The sequence below is a fragment of the Homo sapiens genome, chromosome 7 (assembly GCF_000001405.40).
Source record: "Homo sapiens chromosome 7, GRCh38.p14 Primary Assembly".
In the NCBI taxonomy this organism is placed as follows: domain Eukaryota; kingdom Metazoa; phylum Chordata; class Mammalia; order Primates; family Hominidae; genus Homo; species Homo sapiens.
Window position 1 is genome coordinate 154060572 of NC_000007.14, and position 19175 is coordinate 154079746.

At 46.7% G+C, this 19175-nt stretch overlaps 1 protein-coding gene across 10 annotated transcripts in view; it reads left to right on the plus strand.

Moving 5' to 3' along the window:
* DPP6 (dipeptidyl peptidase like 6) overlaps positions 1-19175 on the plus strand; it is a 1146153-nt gene that overhangs the window by 312439 nt on the left and 814539 nt on the right. The window lies entirely within an intron of this gene.

The following is a 19175-nucleotide window of genomic DNA, read 5'->3' on the forward strand; positions in this document are numbered from 1 at the left end:
TTACGTGGGATTACTGAGAGCCAGTCCCTCTTCCCCCCCCTGGCTCTGAGGACCCCCATCGCAGGAGGGGGAGGCACCCCCCACGAGAGTGGCGACTGAGAGCTATCCCCTCTTCCGCCCCTGGCTGTTAGTACCCCCATCGCAGGGGGGGAGGCACCCCCCGCGAGGCAGGGACTGAGAGCCAGTCCCTCTTCCCCCCCTGGCTCTTAGGACGCCCATCACAGGAGGGGGACGCACCCCCCATGAGGCAGGGACTGAGAGCCAGCCCCTGTTCCCCCACTGGCTCTTAGGACCCACATCACAGAGTGGGGAGGCACCCCCCACGAGGCGGGGACTGAGAGCCAGACCCTCTTCCCCCACTGGCATAGGACCCCCATCGTTGATGTTAAGATCCTTAGGACCCACCTGGAGGACTGTGGGTATTAGGTGTCCAAGTAGAGAGTTCAAATCTTCTGACGGCAGGTACCTTATGTGGGATTTACGATCCGACGGGTCCGAACGCAGCTCGGGAACAGAAAGAAAGCAGGTTATTTGCAATCTACCGGAAATTAAGGGCAGAAGGCAGGTGAGAGAATTCTTAGGAGCTGTGGGGTTTTGTAGACTGTGGATCCCAAACTGCAGTATTAGCCAAGCCTTTGTATGAGGTCACAAAGGGGGCGGGGACCCGGAACTTTTGAAATGGGGATCCCAACAACAGCAAGTTTTTCATGAGTTACAAGAAAATCTTCTGGCAGCCCCAGCCCTGGGGCTACCCGATCTGACAAAGCCTTTTCCATTGTATGCGTCAGAGAGAGAAAAGATGGCAGCTGGACTTTTAACCCAAACTGTGGGGCCCTGGCTGAGGCCGGTAGCCTACATCTCTAAACAACTAGACAGGGTTGCTAAAGGATGGCCCCCCTATTAGAGGGCCTTGGCAGCAACTGCCCTGCTAGTACAAGAAGCAAATAAGCTGATTCTTGGGCAAAACCTGAACATAAAGGCCCCCCATTTTGTGATGGCTGAGATCCATCCCCTCTTCCCCCCTGGCTCTTGGGACTCCCATCACAGGGGGGGGAGGCACCCGCTGCGAGGCGGGGACTCAGAGCCAACCCCTCTTCCCCCCCTGGCTCTTGGGACCACCATCGCAGGGGGGGAGGCAATCCCCGCGAGGCGGGGACTGCGAACCTCCCCCTTTCCTCCCCTGGCTCTTTGCACCCCCATCGCAGGGAGGGAGGCACCCCTCGCGACGCGGGGACTGAGAGCGAGCCCCTCTTCCCCCCTTTGCTCTTAGGATCCCCATCGCTGGGGGCGGAGGCACCCCCCGCGAGGCAGGGACTGAGAGGCAATCCCTCTTCCCCCCCTGGCTCTGAGGACCCCCATCGCAGGAGGGGGAGGCAACCCTGCGAGGGTGGGGACTGAGAGCTATCCCCTCTTCCGCCCCTGGCTGTTGGTACCCCCATCGCAGGGGGGGGGAGGCACCCCCCGCGAGGCAGGGACTGACAGCCAGCCCCTGGTTCCCCCACTGGCTCTTAGGACCCCCATCGCAGAGGGGGGACGCACCCCCCGCGAGGCGGGGACTGAGAGCCAGACCCTCATCCCCCACCGGCTTAGGACCCACATCGTTGATCCTAAGATCCTTAGGACCCACCTGGAGGACTGCGGGTGTTAGGTGTCCAAGTAGAAAGTTCAAATCTTCTGACGGCAGGTACCTTACGTGGGATTACTGAGAGCCAGTCCCTCTTCCCCCCCGGCTCTGAGGACCCCCATCGCAGGAGGGGGAGGCACCCCCCGCGAGGGTGGGGACTGAGAGCTATCCCCTCTTCCGCCCCTGGCTTTTGGTACCCCCATCGCAGGGGGGGGAGGCACCCTCCGCTAGGCAGGGACTGAGAGCCAACCCCTGGTTCCCCCACTGGCTCTTAGGACCCCCATCGCAGGAGGGGGAGGCACCCCCCGCGAGGGTGGGGACTGAGAGCTATCCCCTCTTCCGCCCCTGGCTTTTGGTACCCCCATCGCAGGGGGGGGAGGCACCCTCCGCTAGGCAGGGACTGAGAGCCAACCCCTGGTTCCCCCACTGGCTCTTAGGACCCCCATCGCAGGAGGGGGAGGCACCCCCCGCGAGGGTGGGGACTGAGAGCTATCCTCTCTTCCGCACCTGGCTGTTGGTACCCCCATCGTAGGGGGGGGGAGGCACCCTCCGCGAGGCAGGGACTGAGAGCCAACCCCTGGTTCCCCCACTGGCTCTTAGGACCCCCATCGCAGAGGGGGGAGGCACCCCCCGCGAGGCGGGGACTGCGAGCCAGACCCTCTTCCTCCCCCAGCTTAGGACCCCCATCGTTGATCCTAAGATCCTTAGGACCCACCTGGAGGACTGTGGGTGTTAGTTGTCCAGGTAGAAATTTCAAATCTTCCGACGGCAGGTACCTTACGTGGAATTACTGAGAGCCAGTCCCTCTTCCCCCCCTGGCTCTGAGGAACCCCATCACAGGAGGGGGAGGCACCCCCCACGAGAGTGGGGACTGAGAGCTATCCCCTCTTCCGCCCCTGGCTGTTAGTACCCCCATCGCAGGGGGGGAGGCACCCCCCACGAGAGTGGGGACTGAGAGCTATCCCCTTTTCCGCCCCTGGCTGTTAGTACCCCCATCGCAGGGTTGGGGAGGCACCCCCCCGCGAGGCAGGGACTGAGAGCCAGCCCCTATTCCCCCACTGGCTCTTAGGACCCCCATCGCAGAGGGGGGAGGGACCCCCCATGAGGCGGGGACTGAGAGCCAGTCCCTCTTCTCCCTCTGGCTCTTAGGAACCCCATTGCAGGAGGGTGTGGCACCCCCCACGAGGGTGGGGACTGAGAGCTATCCCCTCTTCCGCCCCTGGCTGTTGGTACCCCCATCGCAAGGGGGGGAGGCACCTCCCGCGAGGCAGGGACTGAGAGCCATTCCCTCTTCCCCCCCTGGCTCTTAAGACCCCCATCGCAGGAGGGGGAGGCACCCCCCGCGAGGGTGGGGACTGAGAGCTATCCCCTCTTCCGCCTCTGGCTGATAGTACCCCCATCGCAGTGAGGGAGGCACCCCCCACGAGGCAGGGACTGAGAGCCACTCCCTCTTCCCCCTCTGGCGCTTAGGACCCCCATCCCAGCGGGGGGAGGCACCTCCCGTGAGGTGGGGACTGAGAGCCAGCCCCTCTTCCCCCCCGGCTTAGGACCCCCGTCGTGGATCCTCAGATCCTTAGGACCCACCTGGAGGACTGTGGATATTAGGTGTCCTAGAAGAAAGTTCAAATCTTCCGACGGCAAGTGCATGATAGTCTGCATGAAACCCTAATAAAAAAGACAGTGAAGGAGAATCATGTCAGGAGCTGATACTCCTGAGTCTCGGGAAGCCTCCAGGGACAGAGCACAGCTAGAGCATCCAAGAATGAGAAGAGCCCTAGAGCAAACGCAAAGCCCAGGAAGAGATAATTGGTTTGAGAAGAAAAGGGTCCAGGAGTTATTGCAACCCAGCTAGCAAGCAGAGTCCTGGGCTGATCAGAGTGGGGAAAAGCCACTGAGTTGTTCAATGGTAGGACAAACAGAGCCCTGCTGCAGGGAGGGGACACTCATCTACCCTGTACCCCCATACACCTCTGTCCCGCTCCCCGTTCAGGCTGACAATGTGCTCACCACACAGCAGCACCTCCTGGTCTTGATTGTTGGGGCCCTCGCAATCATTGCACTGGCCCGTCCTGCCATCTGACCAGAGCTCTTCCCTGCTACACTCTTCTGTGAGTCTCCAGCAGGACCTTTTGCACATCAGCAAGCTGGGCAGCGTCAAGTGCCTGGAATCCACCCCATGCCTTCCCACCTCTGGACATTTGCTCATGGTTCAATTCATGGCCATTGAACTTGTCTTGGTCAGTTTTCTTTCAGCTCTCAGTGATAGACACATTCCACAATGACCTACAGAGAAAAAAAAGGCTCAAATTGTATAGCAAACCACTACCTCTACTAAAGTAACCTATTGTTCTTTAGAACTGAAGACCAGAGGCTGTGGGACTTCAGTCTTATCTGGGATGTGGTGCTGACATGATGTTCCCAAAACTCTTTCTATCTGTGTCCCTAACTCTCAGATTTACTTTTCTCTGTGGGTGTTAATCTCAAGCAGATAGCAAAGGTAGTTTCTGCTCTAAGCTCATGAAGTTTTACAGTTCCTAACGAGAGAGGAAGACAGAGGCATGCTCTCTCCCAGGGTCTACATGTGAAATCTCATTCAGGGTTTCTGGTTGATCCAGCACTGGTCACATGGCCCAGCCACTTGGAGTCAGTTGTGTTGTCAGAGCCTGCACCGCAAGCGCGTTGCACAGACAGGAACAGGACTGGCCAGGGAGGGAATCTCCATTAGGACAAAGTGGTTCTGCAGACCTTGCAGCGTCTCCTCCTCAAATGCCTTTTCCTTACAAGAGCTTCCTCTCAAAATGCACCCCTCCTTTCAGGTCCCATTCTAATGCTGTCACCTCCAAAGCAGCAACCTCATCTACCTGTCTCAACTCCCTAAATGGGTGACTGTTCCTGCATCTGAATTTCCATAGCATTATCATGACACACCATCCTCACCATTGTCACTATCTTACCTGTAATCATAGCTGCTTGTGATGAGCAGCAGCTGGAAGGACAGACATCACTGCCACTTAAACCAGCTCCAACAAGGCAGAGATGAAATAGACCGGAAGAAGGGGCAAGGCTGTGAGGGCCCTGGGAGCAAGCAGGGACACCTCCCATCACTCTTTGAGGGCCCTGGGAGCAAGCAGGGACACCTCCCATCACTCTTTGAGGGCCCTGGGAGCAAGCAGGGACACCTCCCATCACTGGCTGCCATACAGGGTGAAAACAATACAGCCTGAGTGCCCACATTCCATTCCAGCATTCCCCCCAGTAAGAACAAAACAGGAAGGGCCCAAGGAAAACACAACCAGCAGTGAAGTGGAGCTCTGTCCTCTTTGCTGTCCTCACTGGCCGGGTGCACAGGCCAGGCCCTACTGAATACTACTACCTAAGCAGTTACACCATGGCCTTAGTACCCCCGCCCCCGAGAGCAGAAATTGTAAGCAAATTGTCCATCAAGGTATAATGGCAAAAGGCACAAATTAGGACCAGGCCAATGGTATAAATACACCTGCCTGTCACCCAGCCCCTAGAGCTCCTTGGAGAAGCCTGAGTCCTGTGTTCCACGGACATCAGTGGCATAGAGGCCCTGAGTTGGACTCAGGTTTTCCTCAGGGACTGGGTTTTCCTCAGGGAATGGGGCAAGTTCCTGGGGGCCAAGGATGTCTTCTGACTGGCCTGCATGAGGGCTTCAGGAGGTGAGTTGTTTTATCCTCCTAAGAAGCCGCCTTGGTATCCCACTGGCCTTAAGCAGTCCCAGAATACCCATAATTTTTCCTGTTGGAGACCCTCACATTCTTCTAAGCCTCACCTTCATACTTCTGTGACTACTGAAATATCAGCCACGGCTAGGTTCAGATTTGTTTTTTTTTTTTTTTACTTTTTTTTTTTTAATTTGGGACAGAGTCTCTCTCTGTTACCCAGGCTGGAGTGCAGTGATACAAACTCAGCTCACTGTAACCTCTGCCTCTCAGGTTCAAGTGATTCTCCTGCCTCAGCCTCCTGAGTAGCTGGGATTACAGGCACACACCAGCATGCCTGGCTAATTTTTGTATTCTTAGTAGAGATGGGGTTTCACTATGTTGGCCAGGCTGGTGTTGAACTCCTGGCCTCAGGTGATCTGCCTGCCTTGGCCTCCCAAAGTGTTGGGATTATAGGTGTGAGTCACTGTGCCCAGCCTCAGATTTTTTTACAATGATGCCACATTGCAATTAAATGGACTTGTCCCTACTGAACAGAGCCCTCTGCTGTTGTGCCCTGGAGCCAGGTTAACACGCATGTGCTCTATGCCACGAAGAACACCCACCAAGCTGAGGGGCCCTGCAGGCATTCACATGGGAAACTGCCATTGCGAATGGAGTGAGTGAGGCAGCTTAAGTGGTGGGAGGGGTGCATGGGAAGGGGCTCCTGAGCAGGACCTTCAAGGGTGCTAGAGTTTGGCAGAGACAAGAGTAGGAGCGAAGAAAGTGAGAGTCTCATGTAAAAGGGCAAGGTCACCTTCCTGAACAGGGAAGATAAATCATAGTGGATATTGTACAATAAAGATTTTATTCATTCATCTATGACAAACTTTTACTCGATACCAACCATGGCCTGATGCAAGGCTGACACCATGGGATACAGAAATGCTTTTGAGTGTCAGTCTGGGGAGAGACAGGCATGTGAGCAAATAAATGAGCTGGGTCTGTCCCATGAAGAGTCTAGAATAGTGCAGTTGGTTAGCACTCTCTGGTGACAGAAAGGCTGTCTATCTATACCATCCAATCCAATAGCCACTTGCCCCATATGGCTGTTGAGTGCTTGGAATGAGGCCTGTGAGATTGAGGAACTCAATTTTAAATTTTATTTAACCTTCATCTATTTTAAATTTAAATAGCCAGCCACATGGGGCTAGTGGCTACCATATTGGGCAGCACAGGGCTGGAGGCACATGGTAAGAAATTTATATCCAATAACTAATAGGAAGACACATTGATTAGTTTTTTTAAACCTATATATTAATCGTTTCACAAGTACTAGGGCTTCAATACATGGTACTGCATAAATAAAGCAGTCCTTGCCTTCAAGTCAAACACATCACCTTATCTTATTGTTATCTGAGAAAATGCAAAGGAGCCCATGGGAGCGAGAGGAGGGACACTTCATTCAGCTTCAAGGGTGTCAGGGAGAGTTTTCTGGGAGATTCGATGATTAGGATGATTCTTGAAGAGTTAATGGGAGATAACCTTGAGAAGGAGGAGAAAGCTATCTCAGGTGGAGGCAACAACCCCATGGTTATCAGAGAAGCAGCAGCATCAGGGAGAGGTCAGAGTATTCAGGGAGGTATGTGGGCCTGGAGACTCGTGCATGTGGGGCAAAGCCATTCAGAATGACCCTCGGAGATGGGCAGGGCACCATGGGGCTTTTGCATGGGGCTCAGGCCTCAGATGACTTTTTTTAAGGTCATGGGGAGTCATTTGAAAATTGGAAGCAGACACGTGAGATTTCTGTTTTTCTGCTTCCATTTCAGTATTTTCCAAAAAGCAGTAATGTTGCTGGAAAGAAGGAGAGCAGTGTAAGAGTTTTTGTTTGTTTTATTGGTTGCAGTGAGATCTGGCTCTGCCACCCAGGCTGCAGTGTAGTGGTATGATCATAGCTCACTGCAACCTCGAACTCCTGGGCTCAAGCGATCTTCCTGCCTCAGCCTGTCAAGTGCATGCCACCACACCCACTCAAGGTTTTTTTTTGTTTTTTTTTTGTTTGTTTGTTTGTTTGTTTTTTTGATAAAGATTGAGTCTTCCTATGTTGCCCAGCCTGGTCTCAAACTCCTGGGCTCAAGCAGTCCTCCCACCTCGGTCTCCCAAAGTACTGGGATTACAGGCATGAGTCACCGTGCCTGGCAAGAGACTCGTTTGAAGTTGAATGAAACGAACAGAATTTGGCAATGGCTTAGTTGGGAAAGGAGAGGTTAGCAGGGAAGGGGCAGCTGCAGCATGTCCTTAGGGGTGTCAACATTTGTGCTGAACACAGGCCACTGTGGGAGGAGGCATCGGCTTGACACAGCAATCCTGTGGTGGAGGTGTTTGTATTTTGAGGTTATTATTCTATTGTTGATTCTTGGAGTAATAAGAATTGAGAGATTACCCAGAAGCAATGGGCAGTGTAATAAGAGGAGAGGGCTGGAGAACAAGCTGGGTGACTCCCATGTTTACAGGCTTCTGGCCTCAGGGAAGGCCTGGAAAAAAGGATGGGAAGAAGATGCTGTTAGAATCCAGGAGAAAGCTACCTCTAAGAAAGCAAAAAAGGCAGGCTCATAGCAGACAAGTAACCTGAATTGGGAAAGGGCCCAGTGGCCCCGGCCTTGGAGGGCAGCTGGTGTCTGCAGGGAGGGTGGCTTTGGCAGGAGCACAGGTGTGGTTGAGGCTGAGGTGACCAAAGTCGGATTAACACGAACCCGAGGCACGTAGCACAGGGGGATGAGTGTGGGGGTTTCTTCCGGGCTGCTGCACAGGCCCTCCTCTTCCCAGACAGCAGCTGCTGAGTGTCAGGTGGGGGGATAAAGGCCAGAAGCAGAGATGCCGCTAAGCCCACAAACAGGTGCCCACGGGATCAGCCTCGGCGCCCGGGCGGGTCTTAGGTCTGAAGGACACTTGGAGACTAGATGTTAACTGTTGGAAATTTAGTAAACTGGGCCACCAGAGGCTTAATTCACTGCTTTAAAGTCTGATGATTGGAAATTAACCTATGAGAATTGTCAGATTACATTGAGGTTTGATCTCCCGTGCACTTACACAAATGCACACAGACACAGACACAGACACAGGCATGCACACACCTCTTTTATGAGACAGATAAAAACCCAGCCACAAAGATGTCAATGCCACACATCTAAGAGCCTGTCCCATAAGTAATGCACAGGGCTCCAGCCCCCGTGGGAGGAAGATAATTGGACTGTAAAATAGTGAAGGGCACGGCTGGGTCAAGAGAGAGTCCCCTAAAACCAAATTCCAGATGATTTCCATATTCTGAATGGAAAGCCTGCATAATCATTATTTTTAAAACATATCGACTTAGAAATAAAATATAGAAGTCAAAAAATCAATTAAGAGGACTAATTCAATGAAGAGTGTTTTCTGGTGGCTATTTTTCTTTTTATTAAAGTTTTTAATTTTTTTATTTTTTGGGCACCTAGTATATATTTATGGGGTACATAAGATGTTTTGATACAAGCATGCTCTAGTGACTACTTTTCAAGAGTTAAACTGTGGACTCCAGAGTCTGAAAATAAAGTATAATTTTTGAGAATGTTCAAATTATAGTTTTAAAAGTCTTTGGCCCATTATTTATATTTTTTATTCTTATTTGGAATTAAGCACAGTATTTTGTTTTTTCAAAAATTTAAACCTGACTGAGAGCTAGGTTGTCATGGACCATTGGTTATTTATCTTCTTTTGATGATACTTCATTTAATAACAAATCAGTGTTCCTGTGTCTGATAGAGTTAGATGAATTAATCAAGTCAGTGTTTATTCCTCCTTCAAGTGGCATCTTCTTAAAGGTAGCTTTGCAAAATGCCCAATTATTTGGACAACTTAAAAAAAGAACTATGGGGCCGTGCGCAGTGGCTCACGTCCCTAATCCCAGCACTTTGGGAGGCCGAGGCGGGCGGATCACGAGGTTAGGAGATTTCAGGCCATCTTGGCTAACACAGTGAAACCCCGTCTCTACTAAAAATGCGAAAAATTAGCCGGGTGTGATGGTGGGCGCCTGTAGTCCCAGCTACTCGGGAGGCTGAGGCAGGAGAATGGCGTGAACCCGGGAGGCGGAGTTTGCAGTGAGCCGAGATTGTGCCACTGCACTCCAGTCTGGGCAATAGAGCGAGACTCCGTCTCAAAACAAAACACAACAGTTTCTCATATGCAATGATCCCCACACCGAGGTATCAGGTAATTGTGGACTGTGCCGTTCACTGTGTACTATCAGGAATTTAGGTAAGGCAGCAAAAGAGAAGAAAGTTTCCCTAGAGCTCCATACCGAGGTATCAGGTAATTGTGGACTGTGTCGTTCACTGTGTACAGAGATTGGCAGGGTGTGAGTGGCAGAAAGAGCTTCTTAGGCAGTCAGACCACCTGGCTCTGAATCCTGGCTCGGTCACAAATTAATTATATGGAAGAAAACCTTAAGCCTCGGTTTGATTTTCTCCTTTAAAAAGTGAGACAAATAAATGCATTTATTTCTCAGAAGATAGTTGTGATGCATCTATTATTTTATGACATTTTTGTTCATTTTTAAAAGGTCCTGACAAATTTTAAGTGTTTTATGTGATCAGTTAGATGACATGCTAATAGGCAAAAGGCTTGCCTCTAATATACATGCTGTCAAATTTTCCATCAGCTTCTATATTTGCTTCTCTAAGATTTTTTTTTCCTGAATGACATAATTAATTAATGAGGTCATGCAAAATTCTTAAGGAAAATAGCTAAGTCAGTTTCCTTCATTAAAATCCACTGTAAACAAAGACGGCCCTCTGTTTAATGCTTAGTTTAACAGAAAATTTAAATTAGCACAGATAATTCTTCACATCATTTGGTTAATTGAAGGTATGGGAAACTGTATTTGTAGTGTTCACTCAAACCATTCCCAATAAGTGAATTACCCATGGGCCAAACTCTGGAAATTGCCAGATGAACTGTATTATATAAAGATAGTATGGCATGAATAGCTGTTCTTTCATATTGCCTTTAATCCATCCTCTTTGAAATAATAGAGGCCTGAGATACATCAGTGTTATTGAGCAGGAACGCTTGAATATAAAACCAATCAAGACAACATATAGTATGAAATAGTAGCTTATCATGTATGTGCATGCATGCTATTTTATTTGTTTTTTGCTGATAAAGGTGGAATGATGTTATGATGAATTTCACCATGAAAGACTGAAATAGAGCAAACAAAACGTCTCAATCAGGGTTTGCCAGGGTTATTCCTAATGAGTTATTCATACTGGTTGTATTTTTTTGACCATTGGGATTTATTTATCTGAGGGCTGCTGGAAAAAGGAGAAAGGGAAGCTACGTCATTTGCCTTCTGTGTGCCAGGCATTTTCTCTTTCTTTATCCCTGGAATAACCTTGTGTGGGAGGTTTCATTATTCTCATTTTACAAATATGGAAACTAGCTTAGATGAAGAGAGATGGAGTGACCCTCCGAAGGCCTTGCAGTCAGCAAGAGTTCGAAGCGGGGTGAGAATTCACGTGTTTCTGATTTCTAAAGCCGTATTCCTTCCACTGCCCTGGTTCACATGTTAGAATGTCACATCTTTATCCTTCAGACATAGTAGCTCAGTCTGCATCAGACTAAGATGGGGAAAAACTTGATTCCTGGAAATTTCCAAACATACGGAAAAGTGGAGGGAATTAGGCGATAAGCCAGTTGTACCCATGACCCAGCTGTATAATTATCAAGGCTTCGGCAATCTCGTTTCATCCATTTCACTACCACTATGATTTGAAACAAATGCCAGATATCATTTTTCTCCGCTAAAAACATTTTATTATGTTGGATCCTGTTTGTGCCCGTATTTTATACTAAGCCTTCACATAAGTTATGTTCTAGGATGTCTTCAAATGAGAGTAAAAGAGGACACCGTTGTCTTACTGCTGGGGAAAAGAGAGGGGGCTTTCTTCTTTCTTCAACTTCCCTCTGTGATACAAGGGAAAAATGCAGCTAAATTAGTCTAAAATCTCGATCCCTTGAAAACAGAAAAATCAACAGTTTTAAGCAAACAAATACAATCCCCCTAGTAGCTAATCATTTTCATCCACGTGCCTGGTACACATGCTAATGTTGGAGGGAAAAAAACAGGGTGATGTGCTTTTTGAGTGTGGACACCAGAGGGCAGAGTGTACTGATTAGAGTTTCCTGGCATTGCAAAAGTGCAGTGCGGCTTGGGGAGGAAAAGCAGTAGGCTATGAAACATTATTCCTTATGTCAATAGAAGGAAATTATTACATAAGGGAAAACTGGCAAGATGGAAGAGCTTATATCCGCTTGCAGTTCTGTTCATTCCCCCTAAACTCCATATATTATTTCAGGATTTTCATGAGAAAGGCTCTTCTTTGAAGAATCAATTGCTTATCCATGGTGTTAGTTTATATGTTTGTATCATGATAAACATCCTATCCAGAGGTGTGACCTTCCAGACCTTGCTAACAGCATGCTGCTGCTTTGCAAAGCTGCCTGCGCTTTGCTGCTCACCTAAAGGAGGACTTCTCAATAATAGACAGGATTTGATTCCTTTTTGTCATGAGAAAGCTCCCTGATTGTGCATTTGTAATGCATGAATTGCACAGATCTCCCTGCTGAGAGGCTTACATCACAGAGTTGGCTCACTGTTTCCAGTATCATTCTTCCAGCCCAACAGTAAGCACTGGCAGAGAGCAGGTAGCTGCCTACCCTGATATTACGGGACGTCAATAGGCTCTTGCACGCAAGTGTGGTGTTTTTCATTGCACACCAAGGGTTATTAGGCTGTGCTGAGTCAGATGGAAATAAAAATAGCCTGGAACCTGTGCCCGTTTGTTTGGGGGACTTGTCCCAGCACCATGCTAATGAGCCCAAGGGCTTGGGCTTGATGTCCCTGGTGGTTCCATCAGAGCAACATGAAGGAAAGCAACTGTCGGAAGCCACAGGCCCTCACTTAATGTGGTTTGCAGAGTGGTAAGTGATGGCTCTTCCCACGGGTATGGTTGTCTGGCACAGAGAGAGCCGGGGGACCCACACGCTCACGCAGTTCCTGCCAGCAACTGTGAGACATGACGACTGTGACTTAGCAGAATCCAGGGTTCATCCACCCTCCTGTGAGTCCTCCTGCTCCCCGTTTTGCTGCCATCTCGGGCCAATATCTGCAGGTGCAGAGACCCTGGAGTAGCTGCACCTCAGCCTCATGTCCTCTGTGGTCCCTTAATTGCCCAAAAGAAAGAATTTAAATGTAAAGTCGCTCTGTGCAGCGAGCATGTTCCTTCGTGCCCTGGGCGGCCTCTCTGACAGCCCTGACTCTGGTCTGTGACGCTGGGATTGTGGCTGCTTTCAGGCACCGTCATGGCCTTCCATGGTCCTCTGTCTGCCTTTGTCTCCTTCCTTCTGTTTAGGATGCCCTTTAGTGGGGGAACTCCTGGTCCGCCTTCTTCTCTAAATCTGTGCTCTCTACCAAGGATTTTCCAAGCCTGCGCTTCCTCCTGTCGTCTCCTTTGCTCCTCTCCGTGGCTCTGGCTCCTGTTCCGCAGCCCCTGGACCTATATCTGTGATCACACTTAGTGTTTTATACATCAGTTATTCACTTAAGTGTCGGCCGTGCCCACCAGCCCAGAAGACTCAAGGACGAGTACTTTTCTATACTTACCTTTACACAAGATAGGGTCTCAGTACTCATCGCGATTAATACATGAATGAACTTCAGCAAAATAATTGCAATGTGTAAAGGCCAAGATCCAGAATAAAACCTTTCATTTCTTAGCTAAAAATCTCCCCACATCCATTAGTTTTACATCCTTGGCATTAAAGATCCTAAGGAGAAATTGGTATTCCTGTCTGGAAAAACTTGCTGTTACTTAATGTATTTGAAAGTAAGTTATTTTTAAATAAATATGAAACCCCATCTCTACTAAAAATACAAAAAATTAGCTGGGTCTAGTGATGGGTGCCTGTAATCCCAGCTACTCGGGAGGCTGAGGCAGGAGAATTGCTTGAACCTGGGAGGAGGAGGTTGCAGTGAGCTGAGATTGTGCCACTGCACTCCAGCCTGGGCAACAAGAGTGAAACTCTGTCTCTAAAATATATATCTATGTATGTATGTATGTATGTATGTATGTATGTATGTATGTAAGTATCTATCTATATATCTCCATATATACATATAGAGAGAGATATATAGAGATCTATATAGAGATAGAGAGATATATATAGATATCTATATATATCTCTCTATATATGTATATAGATATGTAGCTATATATAGAGAGAAAGAGACCTGGAGAACATATATACTCAACAGGTGCATGTCATAACCTTCGGGGAAATAGGGTGGGAAGGATGAAGATGATATTTTATGTGATCTGTACTGTGTGAGTTGTGAGTTTCTGCATATATTAATTAGTAAAATAGGTAGGAGCAAATATTATGAAAGCATTAAAACACCAAGACTAACCAAGACAATCATGAAGAGGAACATTTCTGTCTAACTAGATGGCAACTTATTATAAAGTCTTAGTAATTCTGATGACTATACCCCACATGGATGCAGAGACAGAATAAGTAAATCAGTGGACCAAACAGAAACAATTGGTCATATTTACACAGTTCTTGTTACCAGCTGGGCTGTTTTAAACAACTTTCCAATATAAATTCATTTAATCTTTGCAGCTGTCCATGAAGTAACGTTTATAGGTCTCCATTTAATGCTTTAAGAAAATAGAAAAAGAAAGGTTAAATTGCTGAAAGAGTCACATAAGAGGAATTGGCATAAGAGACACACCGGCTACTCCCTGGGTGTGAAGCTTTATAGCCACAGCAGGGAGGGGAGTGTCAAGAACCAGGGCAGGGAGGATAAAGACCCCGCTGAGAGTTCCAGCTCAGTTTATGATTGGTATATGCCTTTCATAAGCAAGTCACTATTTTCTTGAAAAGAAATGGAAATCAAGAGATGCATGTGTTGTCAAAGCGGGAGAAAATATTTGCAAACTATGTATCTGACACAGTACTACTATCCAGAATGTACAAGGAACTCAAACAAATCAGCAAGAAAAAAACAAATAATCCCATCAAAAAGTGGGCTAAGGACATGAATAGAAAATTTTAAAAAGAAGGTATACAAATGGCCAACAAACATATGAAAAAATGCTCAACCTCAGTAATGATCAGGGAAATGCAAATTAAAACCACAATGCAATACCACCTTCCTCCTGCACAAATGGCCATAATTAAAAAATCAAAAAATAATAGATGTTGGCATGGATATGGTGAAAAGGGAGCACTTCTACACTGCTTGTAGGAATGTAAACTAGTATAACCACTATGGAAAACAGTGTGGAGATTCCTTAAAGAACTAAAAGTAGATCTACCATTTGATCCAGCCACCCCACTACTGTGTATCTATCTACCCAGCAGAAGATAAGTCATTATATGAAAAAGACACTTGCACGCACGCCTATAGCAGTACAACTCACAATTGCAAAAATATGGAACCAGCCTAAATGTTCATCAACCAAGGAGTAGAGAAAGAAAATGTGGTATATATACACCATGGAATACTACTCAGCCATAAGAAATGAATGAAATAATGGCATTCACAGCAACCTGGACAGAGTTGGAGACCATTATTCTAAGTGAAGTAACTCAAGAATGGAAAACCAAGTATCGTATGTTCTCGCTTTTAAGTGGGAGCTCAGCTATGAGGGTGCAAAGGCATAAGAATGATATAATGGACTTTGGGGACTCGGGGGGAAGGCTGGGAGGGGGATGAAGGATAAAAGATTACACATGGGGTACAGTGTATACTGCACAGGTGATGGGTGAACCGACACCTCAGAAATCACCACTAAAGAACTTACCCATGTAACCCCAAACCACCTGTTCCTCAAAAACTATTGAAATAAACATAAAATAAATTTTTAAAAAAGAGATACATGTGTTGAAATAGACAATAACTCTCAACTGTACCAGAACCTACACCTCCTTATTTTGGCAAATTATTTTAATGCTCCTTTCCTAATTTAAATTAAATTCATAGGTGATAAAATGTATATGCATATACCACTTTAAAAGTTTCAATATATAGGCTAAATAAAGGAATGAACTTATAATCCAGTTATCTGTCCTTCAGCGTGTCACTGCTCAGGTCCTGCTTGCCAGGTGGTCTGCAGCTAGGGCACTGACATCTGTGATGAAGTCAGAAGCTTCTTCCTATGTGTAAAGAGTAAAACTGGGTTTAAAATATTTTTTTTTAAAAAAAAGGCTGGGCGCAGTGCCTCACACCTATAATCCCAGCGCTTTGGGAGGCCAAGGCAGGTGGATCGCCTGAGGTCAGGAGTTCAAGACCAGCCTCGCCAAAACGGTGAACCCCTGTCCCTACTAAAAATACAAAAATTAGCCATGCACAGTGGCGGGTGCCTGTAATCCCAGCTACTCGGGAGGCTGAGGCAGGAGAATCTCTTGAACCTGGGAGGCGGAGGTTGCAGTGAGCCGAGATTGTGGCAATGCACTCCAGCCTGGGTGACGAGGGCAAAACTCCATAACAAAAATAAATAATAAATTTTTAAAAAGCAGACCAGAAATAGTTCCATATAAAAAATATAGGAAAAGGGAAGAGCAGATAATACAGAAGAACCTTAGAATAAAGCCTGAGATTAAGTAATAATAGATTAGTTTTATTTTGAAAATGAAAAGAAAATGGGGACACACTCCATTTGAAATACAGGATGCGTACCAAGGTGGATCACAGATTGAGAGGAGAAAATGTGTGAGATTCTCCACTGATAGCCAGGTGTGGCTTCTTCTTTTTAAGCATGGCGTGAAACAAATTATGACATGGATGATGAGGGCATGAAGTGTCCCTGGGATCCTACCACCTGACAAGGTGTACCCTCAGTCTCCAATGCTTAATAAATGCCTTGTAAACTGTAACCTCTGATACTTAATGAGGAATACAGCGCTTTGAAACAGAAACCGAAATAGGTCTCTAGAGAAGTTGTATGATAAGATCCTGGGGGCAGTGTCAGAAAAGGACCGAAAAACCACAGATTCCTCCCTCCAGGAAATAATTTCAATACTTAAAGTTTACCATGTAGATTTCTTGTTCTGGTGCTATAATTGTGAAGCATATAGGAAACACTATAAAATGTTTTAAAACAATACTTTTGATAAACTTTATTAAGACCTCTATGTTTCATGTGTTTGCACTAAAAATAATGTTTGCTTCTAAGAATGTTCCTATTTGACTAAGGTGATTTAAAATGCCTTTGCATTGTTGCACTGTTTGTGTAGTGATTGTAACTCTGTACTAAAGCCAATTAACTTTGTAGTTGGATGGGTTATAAAATACTCACTAGACACAGTACTCCATAGACACCATATTCAATAATAGACACAATGTGTAGAATGAAGAAGCCAGCGTCCACCTCTGCAACGAGCTTGTCCTGAATCCCTGGACCCTTTATTTTTCATCCCATAAAAACTTTCAGTATCATTATGTACTGAAGTACTCCTTATTTATAGTTCTGTGGATTTATTCCAACGAGTCTGTTGAAAACTGGGATGTGGGGCACCTACACTTCTCACCGTGCAGGATCTCTACCCATTGCAGGGTGTCCAGCCCCCTGGCCTCTACCCCAAATGCCAGTGAAGTCTAGGATTCATTGTGACAACTGAAAAACTCTCCTCATTTCAAAAATGCTTCCTAGGAGGTAGAATGGCCCTGTTGAGAACCTTAAATAGATTATAGATTTTATTTATTATTATTATTATTTTTTTTTTTTTGAGACAGAGTCTCACTCTGTCACCAGGCTAGAGTGCAGTGGTGTGATCTGAGCTCACTGCAACCTCCGCCTCCCGGGTTCAAGCAATTCTCCTGCCTCAGCCTCTCGAGTAGCTGAGACTACAGGCACGCATCACCATGCCCAGCTAATTTTTGTATTTTTAGTAGAGATGGGGTTTCACCTTGTTGGCCAGGATGGTCTCGATCTCTTGACCTCATGATCTGCCCTCCTCGGCCTCCCAAAGTGTCGGGATTACAGGCATGAGCTACTGCTCCCGGCCAATAGATTATAGATATAATTTTTCTGTTATTATTTCTTTCACAAAACCCTGGCTGTACAAGTATCCTCTGTAAACTTAGATATTTCCGACAGTGTGTCTACTTCCTTCCTTCATGATCTCAACTCTCTGTAAATTACATGTGAATGCATTCAGGACTGTATTTTATATATCATCTCTTTCATGTTTTGATTTGCTTTTTCCAAGCAGACATTAAGTGTGCTGAAGGTAGTTGTGTTGTCATCTGCTTTCATTGAATCCTTCAGAAATTTTAGCACCACAATGAGATTCTGAAAAAAGCACAGAAAAGGGGCTTAATATAGAATGTTTAAAGAATATTTGTTTTCTCAATTTATATTACGACTTTCAAACTTCAGTGCATATGTACACACACACACACACACACACACACACACACACACACCATTTTAAGGCATTGCTAGACTCACATATATCTTTCACCTTGAAGATGAAGCAAGATTCCAAAATGTCAGAAAATCTTGAAAGTGTCTTAGATACGAGCAATATGGGGAGAGAGCCAGCAACTGAGTTATTCCCAAGCTCATTTAGTGACAAAGTTGTGGGTTGGTTAGGCTTGTTAGAGCTCAACAAAGCACTTAGTGAAGGAAATATGAAAATTAGAAACCACTGTAGGATATAAATTAAGACTATTTGGAGGCTAGAAAGATTTGGGGATTTTTTTTGTTGTTGTTAAAATATCTAGCCAACTCCTGAAAAATAATGAGTGGTTGCCATAGCAACTGTGTTTTCGCTTGACACACGAAAGAACATGAAAAGCATTGGAATCAAGGAAAGCCACCTGGTTTTAGACTTTAATTTTGGAGAAACAAATTCATCCAAAATGATTTATAAAACAAACCCTATTTTATTTTCCTTCCAAAATGATTGTAGATTTTTTAAATTTTTTTAAATTCAAAACATTGAGGGTATCTCAAAGGAAGTGAAAATACATTCTTTTCCAAAAAAAAAAAAAAAAAAAAAAAATACCTGGGCCGGGTGTGGTGGCTCACGCCTGTAATCCTAGCACTTTGGGAGGCCGAGGTGGGTGTATCACGCGGTCAGGAGATGGAGACCATCCTGGCCAACATGGTGAAACCCTGTCTCTACTAAAAATACAAAAATTAGCCAGGCTTTGTGGTGCATGCCCACAGTGAGCTGAGATCGCACCACTGTACTCCATCCTGGGGGACAGAGCTAGACTCCATCTCAAAAACGAAAGTGCCTGGTCGTCTTTCCACACAACTCCGTTTCCACTCCCATAAAATGCTACGTTAGCTGTTTTGAGGGTAGATGCCCTTAGACTGCCAACTCACAAAGTTTTATTGGGCACCTGTTACCTGTTCAGCAGAGATTTGTAAAAAAAGACACATCAGGTGGCCTTTGCTTGCAAGAAATCAGCCTTTGGAACCTGTGGAGAAAAGTTAAGTACTGCGTACTGCGCAAATGAAGGGTGGGAGCTATTGAAGGGAAGAGACTCACCCCGAAAACCCAAGAATGGTCAAACGAGAGGCAAGGTGGAGCCTGCAGTTTTCACTGGAAGGATTCTAGAGTGAGTGATTCTGGGGACCTAGAGATGGGGGATAACGGGTGAAAGGAACAAGCACGGCCCCTTTGAGGTGGAAAACAGACTGGTGGGCCAGGGTTGGGAGGGTGTGCTGGGGAAGTGTTGTGGGCAGAGGCTGGAAAATGAAATTGGGCTGGGGTTAGGAGACAGGTGACCGTGGAAGACTGCTCTGACAATCAGAGTCTGGACTTTGCTC